The sequence below is a fragment of the Homo sapiens genome, chromosome 3 (assembly GCF_000001405.40).
Source record: "Homo sapiens chromosome 3, GRCh38.p14 Primary Assembly".
NCBI classification, from domain to species: domain Eukaryota; kingdom Metazoa; phylum Chordata; class Mammalia; order Primates; family Hominidae; genus Homo; species Homo sapiens.
This window is the reverse complement of record NC_000003.12, coordinates 144,861,113-144,874,685: the sequence shown is the minus strand read 5'-3', so window position 1 is coordinate 144,874,685 and position 13,573 is coordinate 144,861,113.

Below are 13,573 nucleotides of genomic sequence, written 5' to 3'. Positions count from 1 at the left end.
CACACACAAAATGATACATGTTTGAGGTGATGAATATCTCAATTATCCTGTTTTGATCATTACACATTTTTTGCTTGTATGAAAATATCACGTGTATCACATAAATATGAACCATTATTATGTATGCATACGAATGAAAAAAAATAAATACAATATAAATTTTCTGTTAACTTTATGGCAGCATGTGTCTGCCCAAGGTAGAATCATTTTAAAGATGAATAAAGACAAATAAAGATTTCTCTTCTTCTGCACCCAGATGACACACTCAGTTTCACATAAGGTATACATGGTTGACTCTAGTCAGTACCTAAAAACAATTTTCCAAATTGGTTATACAATGACAAATGACTTTTAACTTCTCAAAACTTATAAAAAGATACAATGAAAATCTGAGCCTGGATCTTCTGGTTGTGTGTCCAGTTGACATGATTCTAGATGAGGAAAGAATAAAAATATCTAGAGAAAGGATCAGCAAGACTTGAATCACTGAATTAACCAGATACAAATGACAAATGTAAAAGGAATTATAGGGATAGAAGGAATAACAAAAAGATAGGATGCCAAATAAACAAGATGCAGTATGGTAGAGGAAGGTGTTTCCTTGGGCTCCATATTGATTTGATTTTTTTTTTCAAAAAGTTTGTACTAAATATTTGCAAAGAGTCTTATGCAGGTGCACAGTCAAAGACAGACGTGCAGGTTCTTTGAGCTGAAAATGCATGTAGAAATTAGCTAGTACTAAGAGTTTTATTCTATAGGAAAAGAATTAAGGTTAAGAGAGATTATATGACCTGTAAAATTCACATAGATGGCAAAATCATGGTTGATTCCTGGTAAGAACATCAACTATAGGAACAAAAGTAATTTATAAGCAAACTGATCAGCATTTTATTATGATAGTTAATCACACACAGAGCATGCTTCAGTAGATGAGTATTTTTCACATAACATAAATTTTTATAATTTATCATACATGATGAAGCATCCTTAAAAATAACATAAAATCACATCATCCCTATATAAAGTCCTTTTCAACATGTGTTTTAGTTAAAACTACTTTAGTTGAGGAGAGGCCTTATGAATATAACAACTAAAAATCATAAAAGACTATATTTCAAATACAACTAGCAAAAATCAACATGTATTGCTTCAAAACAAAATAGATTAAATGTAATCTTTAAATTAGGTGAAGAGATGCAGATACTGACAGGGTAGAGCTAATATAATTTGCTAAGGGTAGACTTCTTTTCTTCTCTAATTAAAATTAATCTGCTCTAAAAATCTTTTGTTCTATGAAGGACACCATATTTTAAGCAATCCATCTTTTTCTCCCTTAGCCTGATGATGTATTATATTAATATATCATTAAAGAGACAGCTTTCAGAAATGATGTATTAGTACAACACATCACTGGAGAAATAGTGAAGATGCGTGACTCATTACAGTTCATGCTAGTCCTTGAAAAAGGGGACTTATTTTATTGAATGAGTTTCTTAAATGTAAAGGACCACAGCAGGGCATATCTGACCACCAATAAATTATCCCAAGTAGTTAAAAATTAAAATATACAGAAAAATTTAGCAAAGTGTGATAATTAGAATTTTGTCTTTGATAGCAGTCAAAGATTATGGAGGGATTCTTCTTAAAACTGAGGGATGAAGTCAATGACACTGAAACAATTTTCAAATCTCTCTAATTTACTACCTGTCATTCTTTAATAGGATTTAAATGAGGAAGACAGTGCTTTATCAATTCTGTTTCTTTAACATCACTAATGTGTCATATTTGTAAGTCTCAGGCCTTATGTAGAAATCCATGACATAAAAATAACATAACTTACTACTATTTGCATTACCAAGAAATAAAATATAAAATATAGCATTGTAGAAATAGCCTAGAAATTTAAATTAGCTTAGCTTGACCTTTATAGGGTTAACAAGACAAGGTTTTTTTTTTTTTGCACTGGATGTATAGTCGTTCAACACTAAAACACAAATTAACCAATACTCATAAGGTCAAGTAAAAAATCAACAGCCAGAAAATATGTTGTTTAAATTGTTTTCTCCATTTCCACATCTGTCCATGTGTATATTTCTTCCATTGTATGACTCTCATTTTTCTGTCCACTGGTTATCAAAGTCTTTTATGAACTGCTAAATTGCTGATTGCTTTTACATGGTAAAATGCAAAGAAAATATAAGAGAATAAATCACTATAGGCCCCCTTCTCGGTTCACTTAATGCCTCCCTTTCTCTCTCTCTCTCTCTCATGCTCATGCATGGATACTCTCTCATTCTCACTCTCAGTTATAAATTTTAACTTTAAAGTTTCATAGCAATTATAAGTTATAGGTGAATTACAAATATTTTCTAAAATAAAGAATCCAATTTTACTTGGTTTAGTTTTTACCTTGGCAGAAAATAAACATATAAAGAACTTACAAAAGTTGAGATGGCGAGTTTTGCTTGGTGGAATGTTTTAAAGCAACTTTATAAATTAAATGAAAATTTAGATTCAAATAACAGTTCCTTGGAATTGCTATATAAACGATTATCTACAATGGTTCAAATGAAAAAATAATGTTTTATGACAAACAAACTTTAAGTAATCTTTACTTGTATCACTATTCTGCAATGCTTACAAGACATCATTAGGACAGTATAATGCACATTAAGGCTCCTCTAATATGACCTACCTCACTCAGATTTTATGAACTATACAAGAAAATCACTTAATTGGCAATTCTGAAACAACTATAAAATTAGAGTTCAATACAATTAGTGTCATTATAAATACGCATGTTTCTAAGCATTTAACTTTAAAAGACAAGAGATTGATGGACCTTTATTACATTTTTTTGAAACCATTTCCTTTAGGGAAATGGATAGAAGAGAATTTTTGGTGTGTCTTAGAAAATCCTTGCTGGACTCTCGAAACAAAATGTGCTTACAATTTCCTCTGTCCAAATTTTTCAGGAATTTCCTGTTTTGAAGTGCCTTTTGTTGTGTACCCCTGTTGTGAACTATATCTTGCTTTAGCAGTTCACTTCTATGCCCTCATGCCATATCTGTCCAGGATAAATCTCAGAGTTTGCCTCAGCTTAAACCTCTCTATCCCAGGAACTCACAATATTTCAACAAATTGTCACTGAATGAATCAAATATGTGAACATCTCCATAAAATGTATCAATTTCATAAAATTAAGAACTAGGTATATAAATTAGAGATCAAAGGGGTAATTTACTTACTGACTCAAGAGAAAAGGTGTTTCCCTAAGAGCTTCGCTAACAAACCCACATCTAACAGAGAATGGTTAGGGTAAATTGTTACTTATTGTATAGATGTTATATAATTACTTGTTGACACTTGTATAAATTTTATTTAAAAACTTGTACAAATAATTTCACTAATTAGTCAAAAATAGGAAATATTTTATAAGAAATGAATCTTTATAATGTTGAATATGTGCAGATAAAATGTCTATTTGGCTGAAAAATATATTTTAATTACTTGTGAACTTTTTCAAATGTTTCCTGATAGTATTTGTACAGTGTTTTCTTAAAGTGTTGTAACTTGTAGAATGATGGCATTTGCTCTAAATCTATCTCTGTGATTTACTGATCAAAGGTAATTCAGCTTTCTAGTTAGAGGAAATCAAATTCAACATATTGCTTTCATTCTGTAGGTGATCTAAAGAGAAGGTTTCTGCAATTTCTAATTCTTTTGAGGTTATGATTCATGTTTGATGCCCCCTCCTCAAATCCACCCCTCCTTAGGATTAATGTGAATAAAATTAATTCACATTAATTCTAAGATTCTGGATTCTATGGATCAGGTAAGTTGGTTATTCAGATGAAAGTACCATGTTTACCAGGAAGATGCATGCAATAATATGGAAAACCTCAAACTACTATTATGGGGAAAAGGGTCAAAAGAGGCATTAAGGGGTAAAGAAGGAAGAATATTGGAGGAAGTGATGTTTGCCTTTTTTAATATGTGGGAATGAGAGGGCAAATGGTGAGAATAATTTGAATAATAGCCTTGGTGTCCACCACAGCCCACTAGATTCATATTTATATGATGCTTTGTCAATCTCCAAATTGTAAATGTCTTCAGCTATCTCTCCTGTCATGGAATTTTGTATATATAAGTCTATGCTTCCTTTTTTCTGACCATAACTGCCATTCATCCTTACCTACCCACATCTGTTTCATGATGCTTCATGAAATCCCCATTCCATACCAAGGAGCTCACTATTTCTCCTTTATCTGAACCCTGTAAACTTTCTTATTTCCTCGTATCTCTCCAGACACTCTCCTGGAGACACCTATCTTCCCTGAGGGCACCATATCTTCTTCAGCACTTTGCAGTGGATGCTCTTTATTATTTTCCAACCCATGAAAATAAGAATCATGCATGAAATTATTACTTCTAAAGGCAGGTGTGTTTTGACTTCTCTCACTTTTTGCTGTTTTCTGTCCCCATAGTTTCGGCTCATTTGCTGGTCTCCTTTTGTTCTCTTCATGTATTGAAGATCTCACTGGCTTTCCTTTCTCTGGAACCATTACCCAAGCTATGGCTTCATCAGGAGGGTCTTCAACAGTTCAATGAACAACCATTCAATATCCTCACTCCTCTCCATCATTTTCAGTGACTTGAACTTCCACTGCACCTCCCAGCCCTAATCCTTCCATGCAGGAAACACGGAAGCTGCAAAGTAGAATAGTCAAATCTGTCACCCTCTAATATCAACCTACAGACCAGGGGGGTTCACGTTTCACCGGCCCTTCAACATTGCTGGGACCTCTAGTCCCTTTTCACTCCATGATCACTACAGTCTCATCCTATTTTTTCATCTTTGTAGTTTTTGGCATAGATCCCCTTGTCTATCACTTAAACCATTTGCTTGATAATTTCTAAATTTCTCTACTTTTCTATCTTTCTGTAAACAGTTAAGGCAGCAAAGTCCAAATGTTTGCTTTCTTCTAGCCCAGTGATTTTCAAACATTTTTGTCTAAAAATACTTTTAAGCTTAAACATTATGAAGGACTACAAATAGCTTTTTTTTTATTCTTAGGTTATGTCTGTCAGTATTTATCATAGCAGAAATTAAAACTGTGAAATTAAAAAATAAACATTAAAATAATAAACAATAATAAACCCATTACATATTAACAAAAACACAGTTTGACATAAAATAACTATCTTATCAAAAACAAAACAAAACAAAATAATGGAAAGAGTAGGCTTGTTCTATGTTTTTTGCAAGTTTCTTTAATGCCTAGCTAAATAAATGGTAGCTAGATGACATGTGCCAACCTGATACATCATCTTTTGGCTATTTTTTCTACTTTATTAGACGTGTCTTTTTTTGTCTAACCGAACCCAGCTGATTCCAAATGTTCACTTTCAATTTTTGACTCACCATTGCAGATGATTTTTTGAGCCAGAATTAACAAATTTAAAACAAAAGAAATAAGAAATAAGCTCATTAATTTCCCTTTCCCACACCCTCACATTTGTTTTTGTTTATCTTGAATTATGACACTAAATAATAATATTAGAAAAAGAGAAAATACTTTGTTGTTGTTAAATCTAGCTCTGTGGACACAAAGCAAAACTCCATGTCCCAATCTCCTCTACCTGGTCCCCATGTAGAATAATCTCAAGACTGAATATTTTTCTGGATGGATATGAATGACATAAAATTTGATGTTGATGTTCCTTTTACAAACTGTGCTGATTTCAACTCTTGTGATTGTTTGGTATATTTTTAAGGCATAAAATAAAATAAGTCACATTCTGTAGCAGCTTCATCTGTGACACACATATTTAACTGAAGGGCTCAGCCCTACTGGCTTCCTGTTAGATTGCCAGCTCCTCAAGGAGCCCATTTTCCCAAAAGATTGGTCTCAGTGATTACTGCCATTATGGTGTTATTTTGTAACACTCAACTAGAAATATTTGGCATCAAATTACTATTGACTGAAATTTTTTGTATTCCCTAGGGGAACAAATTTGACTCAGCAAATTCCCTTCATTGGGGCCCTCCCAACCTGGATGGGACAGTGCTTCTTCTTGGCTAAAATCAACTCATATTTCAAGTGTAGTTTTGCCTTTCTTTCCTGTTCCTAGTGCTTCAGCACCAAAATCCAAGTAGTTTTACAGAGTATTTGAGCCCCCAGCATGGATTCTGTTCAACTCTTCACTGAACCAGGCAGGAGACCTACTGTCTCAGTATATTTGGTGTTTTTATAAAGAAATATCTGAGGCTGGGTAATGTATAAAGAAAAGAGGTTTCTTTGGTTTATGGTTCTGCAGGCTGTACAAGAAGCAGGTGCCAACATATACTTCTGGTGAGGGTTTCAGGCAGCTTCAACTCATGGTGCAAGGTGAAGGGGAACCATTATGTGCAGAGATTACATGGTGAGAGAGGAAGCAGGAGAGAGGGGAGGGAGGTGCCAGGCTGTTTTAACAGCCAGCCCTCATGAAAACTAATAGAGTGAGAATACTTTCAATCCCAACACCCTCCACAGGGAGGGCCATTAATCTATTTTTGAGGAATCTGCCCTCATGACCCAAATTATAACACGCCCCGTCTCTTACATTGGGGATCAAATTTCAACATAAAATTTGAGGAGAAAACATACAAACTGTGGCATTTGGCTCTAGCCCTCCAAAATTAATGTCCTTCTCACGTTGAAGAATACAATCATCCCTTTTCAATAGTCTCCAAAAGTCTTAACTTGTTTGTTCCATTATCAACTCAAAAAAGTTCAAAGTCCAAAATCTGAGACTCAAGGCAAATTATTTAGTCGTGAACCTGTACAATCAAAAACATATTATTTACTTTAAGATGTAATGGCTGTACAGGCATTGGGTAGACATTCCCATCCTAAAAGCGAGAAGTTGGCCAAAAGAAAGGAGTAATAAGCCCCATGCAAGCCCCAAACCCAGCAAGGCAGACATTAAATCTTAAAGTTTCAAAATAACTTGCTTCCTGGGCTTTACTAGGTACTGCTGTAGTAGAGGATTTCTGAAGAGGCTCTTCTCTTCTGGAAGGCTACTGCCTGGGCACCTATGCATTCCAATACATCCTCTGAAATCTCAGCGGAAGTCACCAAGCTTCCATTCTGGGCAACTCTGAAGACAATACCACATGGCTGCCAAGACTTACTGCTTTTGTTCTTTGGAGCAGTGCCCAAAATACACCTGGGGATATTTGAGCTGAGGCTGAAGCCTGAGTGGTGGGGATATAAGTGGCAGCATCCTGAGGCAGAGCAGGGCAGCAGCACCTCAGTCCTGCCCTTGAAACCATTCTGTCTTTCTGGGCCAGAGGGTCTGTTATGGGAGAGAAAGCACTGAATATTTCTGAAATGTTTTTGGAAGCTTTTATCTATCATTTTGACTCTGAGCATCTGGCTGCCTTTTAGTCATGCAAATCTCTCTAGCAAGTGATTGCTCTGCAGCATCCTTGCATGAGTTGAAGCTGCCTGAAGCCCTTACCAGAAGCATTTGCTGACACCTACTTCTTTCTACAGCCTGCATAACCTTAAGCCAAATAAACCTCTTTTCTTTATACATTACCCAGCCTCAGGTATCCCTTTATGGCAACACTAACCTGGCCATGCAATAGAAAAGAGAAAGCAGTTCCTCCAGATACCCTAGGTCATCACTCTTAAGTTCAGCCTTCCACAAAGCTCTAGGGCATGAACACAAGGCAGCAAAAGGTTTTTTTTTGCTTTGTTTTGTTTTGTTTTTTTTTGTTTTTTTCTTTTTCCTACAGCATAACAAGGATGAACTTTGGTCCAGTTCCCAATAACTTTCTCATTTCCATCTGAGACCTCTCAGTATGGCATTTATTGTTAGTATTTCTATCAGCATTTTGATCACAAAGACTTATGCAATCTCAAATGATTTACAGACTTTCTGTCATCTGTTTTTCTTCTGAGCCCTCTAGCCCTCCAAACTCTTCCAAACATTGCCACTTACTCAGTTCCAAAGCTACTTCCGCATTTTTGGATATCCTTATAGCAACACCCTACTTCTCTGTACTAATTTTAGGTCTTAGTCTATTTAGTGTTGCTATAAGGAAATACTTGAGGCTGGATGATTTAAAAAGAAAAGAGATTTATTTGGTTCATAATCGTGCAGGCTGTACAAGAAGGATAGCATCAACATCTGCATCTGGTGAGGACCTCAGGAAGCAAGGAGAAGGGGAGCCAGCATGTGCAGAGATCACATGGCAAGAAAGGAAGCAAGAGAGAGGGGAGAGGTGCGGGTTCTTTTTAACATCCAGCTCTCATGGAAACTAATAGAGTGAGAATTAACTCCAGCCCCTGCCTCAGGGAGGGCATTAATGTATTCATGACAGATCAGCCAAAACACCTCCCATTAGGTCCCACCTCCAACACTGAGCATCAAACATGAGGTATGGGAAACAAACATTAAAAAAAAAATCACCTATTTACAGCTCATTCAGCACAGCTGTGGATGTATGACAATGGGCTCCACTGATTCTATCACATGCCACACTTCCCAGAAATTGTCAGAATGAGAGAGTAATTTAGCAGCTAATAATGTTATAGCTAAAGTGACAGCTCAGAGATAATACCCTGTGGTATTCCACACTTTGGGTACTGAAGCACTCATTCCCTACCAGCTGCTAGGGATGTTAATGGTTAAAGTATTCAGCTGGGTTTCCACTTACCCTTTAGTTCTGCCTTGTTCACCCTATGATTGCCAAGATTGTCAGTAGGTGGAAGAAAGCTAACTCAAGGTCATGTTTCTTTTCTTCCCAAAACCTGGCGATGCAATGAGATAAAGCCTGGTATCCCTGCACTCAAATGAGAGAATTCTGGGCCAATCCAGTTCCAGAGTCTGGTGACAATGTGCCTAAACATTTGTGTTCTGAGTAAGAAAAAACATGGGATAATAATTATTGGAAAACTTTCACTGGCACACCAGGCTATTACATATCTAAAACTTACAAATTTTGCCAGCAAGGAGAGTTTGCTGTATATCATGTCACTTCAATAATTGAGAAATGAAGTATTATATAAATGATTTTTGAATAAATAAAGGAGAAGACGCTGATATTTTGTGTGTCCATATCCACATATGTATCTGTGTTTTTTTTTTTAACTTATAATCATAGGAGAAAACTGAAACCATTGGGATGACTATGAACATAATGGTGGGGAAGATACTTGCTATTTGCTCCAGAGAGATTGCTAAAACCAAAAGAAATGATACACTGATTCTATTGAAAATGACCATCTTTTTAAAGCAAAACGAGGTGATTAATGTGTAACATGTTTCACCTGAAGCTATTGATGGCAGGATATGTGACATTGCTCCACATATTCAATCAGAGAAATGTCAGTTAATTGTCAGGTTTACAGCTGCCTGTGATTCAATGAAGTTGTTTCTTGCCAAAGGTGATTCTGTTCAAATAGAATTTGCAACAAGAAGAGTAGTAATTTCATAAAGAAAAAAAGTACAATCAGAGTTTCAATCACATCCTAAGCCTATTTCCATATTCTTTGAAACCATTTTCCATCAACATTAACAAGCAACACTTTTTTCTGCAAGTAGAAATGAATAAAATATTGCATTGCGTTATTGTAATAGAGTCTGCAAGACAAAAATGTAAATGTAAAATTAATATAAAATTTTCAGAGCTGGATCTTTTTCAAGTTATTTATTTATTAGCTACCCCTGCTTCTGCTTTATGAAGATATCTCCAGTTTTATACAGGCACTATTGTGGCCAGCCCCAGGGGATGTATTATGATGGGTTCATCATCATCCCTTTCCCTGAGGAATATACTCACTTTACTTACTTGCAGTTAACGGTGGTTATATGACAAGCTTCCTGTCAGTATCATGTTGGGGCAGGCCTACTAGGAGGGTGCCAGGAAAAAATTCTGCTTTTTACCTAAAGGGACAGGAGTGTAAAGAGGTCTTACTGTGCCATCTCTTCTTCCTTTATATGTTTGGAAACTGCTTTGAAAATGTAATATACGGAGATCATTTTGTGTCACATGGAAGATAAAAATCGCTGGAATGTCAACCTTTTACCCTGTTATCATTGAGCTGCAAAAGCAACCCTGGAAATTCCTCTTCCTAGACTTCCTTTAAGTGACCAGCCAACATCATAATGTGATAAATCAGAATTGCTAAAACTACTATTGCTTGTCTCTAGAAACACCCAAAATTTAAAATATTTATTGAGAGCTTACTCTATGTCAAGCTCTATTATAAATTATTTGCATGCACTAATTAACTTAATTTTCAAGACAATTCTTTGAAATATGCATTATCTCTATGTTATGCCCGAAGAAAATTAGTCCTAGAGAAATTGATCAAGGTCCCATAGCTACTAAGTGGCAGAAACAAAATTATAGGCAGGCCAAATAAAATGTTTTCAGGCATAAAAAAGATGAAGAGGCCAGGTGCGGTGGCCCACGCCTATAATCCCAGCACTTTGGGAGGCCGAGACCGGCAGACCATCTGAGGTCGGGATTTCAAGACCAGCCTGGCCAACATGGCGAAACCCTGTCTCCACTAAAAATACAAAAATTTGCAGGGCCTCAAATCCCAGCTACTCAGGAGGCTGAGGCAGGAGAATCACTTGAACCCAGGAGGCAAAGGTTGCAGTGAGCCAAGATCGTGCCACTGCACTCCAGCCTAGGCAACAGGGCGAGGCTCTGTCTAAGAAAAAAAAAATGAAGAATTCATAGCCAGGAAACCTGAATTTCAATAAATAAATAAATAAATAAATAAAGTTAAAAGAAGTTCTTCAAGAAGACAGAAAATGATCCCAAATGGAAATGGAAATCTAGATCTACACAAAGCAACAAAAAATACTAAAAATAGGCAAAAATATTACTTTTTCTTATGATTCAAATTTTCTTAAAATGTAACTAATGATTACATAAAAATAATTTCAATATAGTGAGTTTAAAACATATGCAAGTAGCAGCAATAGCACAAGTGTGGTCAAGGTGAGAAAAATGAAAACATGCTATTATAAGATTCACATTTTATGTGAAACTGTATAATGTATAAACTTGAAGTTAACTTAGGCTGTGATAGGTTAAACATGAATACTATAAATCCTCAAGTGACCACTAAAATAATAAAACAAAAAGTATTACCTAAGAATTTAGCAATAAAACAATAAATTATTATTACACACAGCAATGTGAATGAATCTCAAAATATTTATGCTGACCACAAGGCACCAATAAAATTCTAGAAATGGATTTGCTCATGTTTTATAATTAACATTATATTATTATTTTAAAAATTTCAGTGAGAATTGATTGAGGTAGGTATAGTAAATGAAATCTCTTGAGGAATTCAATTATCAAGAGAGAAAAAATGATAGTTAAATTTAGATGAATATAGAGTTGAAGGAGATATTAATAACCATGTCTATTTAGTTATAAGGAACCAGAAGAAATAATAAACTCAGAATATAAGAACTGGAGAAAATCCATGTATGATTGGCTCAGTGGCCAGGCAAGTGTTGACTGGAGTGAAGAGCGTTAGGAAAATTTTCCTGGACATCTGAATGAAGGTTGCAGTGGATGTAGACGTGTGCTCATGGATGGATCCAGTAAGTTGGATGAACTCATATTTGAACACTGCTATGATCTGAATGTTTGTATCTCTCCCAAAATCTATTGAATGCAAGTCCCCACTGTACTTGAAGGTGTGGCCTTTTGAAGCTGCTTTGCCCTTTTCACTATGTGAGAATGAAGTGAAAAGATGCCGCCTATGAATGAGGAAATGGACCCCTTTCTCCTTGTATCAAAGGAATTTCTTCTTACTTATTATGCTTAGTATACATGGTGTTTCAATCGTAATTTTCATAATTTCTGCAAATGATCAATCATTGCCTCACAGTATTTTTCCATTTGCATTATCTTTATGTGCTTCATTTAGATGTCTGTTTCAAGAATTTACATTTTTGTATTTTTCTTTGGATGCCATAAAACCCCTCCAACTTTTTCCCCTTTCCTTGTCTTTTGTGCTATTTCTTTAAAGTTTATCTTGCAGGCCACAGACTCTTCATTCCACTGTTCCTGCTTTTTGATATCTCTACTGAGTTGTTAATTTTAATAATTTATGTTTTCATTTCTATTTGGTTATTTTGAAATCTGGTCATTTTTAAATAGTCTCTTATTTTTTATTTAAATATTTTTTCAAAACATCATTATGTATGTGAGTGTTACATCCTGTTTTTTGTTTGTTTATTTGCTTGTTTGTTTTGAGATGAAGTCTTGCTCTTGTCCTCCAGCCTGGAGTGCAATGACGCAATCTCGGCTCACTGCAACCTCCACCTCCCGGGTTCAAGCGATTCTCCTGCCTCAGCCTCCCAAGTAGCTGGGATTACAGGCACCTGCTACCACACCCAGCTAATTTTTTTGTGTTTAGTAGAGACAGGGTTTCACCATGTTGGCCAGGCTGGTCCCGAACTCCTGATCTCAGGTGATCCACCTGCCTTGGCCTCTCAAAGTGCTGGGATTACAGGTGTGAACCACCACGCCCGTCCTACATCCTGTTTTTTAATATTTCAGTATCTAAAATGCTTTGGAGATTCTATCTTGATTGCTTTTATTATCATCATCATCATTATTATTACTACAGCTTAGTGGAATTTCTTTACTGGTGTTTTGATATATTTTTTTTGGCTCCTATTTTGCTAGCCTATCTGATAGAAGTGTTGAGCACACAAGAGTGCAGATTCAGTTGGCATTTATAGGTATGGTGTGGAGTGGGGCCGCTAAACCTAGGTGTATTCAGTTTTAATCTACCAACATGGAATATCCCAATTACGATGGTAATATTATGTCAAACCAAGAAATATTGTGAGACCAGGCCTCTCTCACAACTTCTTAGGGGAAATGATTATTGTCATAGTTTTGGTTATTTATTTTTATCATACATAGAGCCTGAGGATAAAAACAAATGTTTCCTGGTTGGCTGTTACAAATAGATGGTTGCTTTCCTTTTAAGAAAATGTGTGTGTGTGTGTGTGTGTGTGTGTGTGCACATGTGTGTGTCTGTGTCTGTGTAGTTAATACCACACTTCCAGGTAGGGTATATTTTTTAAGAGTCCCAGTTTTATGTGTGGATTTAAGGTTATCTGTCTTAATTTATTAGGCCAAGGTCCATGGTCATAATCTCCATATGCTGTTAATATCCAAAATTTAGTTTCCTATATTTGGTAGCAACCCAAAGGGCAACCCCAGCTTCCAGATCTGTTTATTTTGCCTTCACACACAGATTCCTGTGGGTCTTGTGAAATAGAAAAAATGGTGGTAGAAGGAGACTCTTGAGAATTTCTGATACATTCTTCTGAGCTGGTCTGAGTTTCTCAGATCATTTATGAATTTGTTTGTTGATTTTATTCAACCTCTAGGTGTTTTGTATCAGAAGAGCTGGTTTGTCTTGTTGACCATAACCAGAAGTCAGCCTTGGCAGACTTGGTTTTGTTTTTGTTTTTTTTTTTTTATTTTTTATTTTGTTTTTGGAGGTAGAGTCTCGCTCTGTCACTAGGC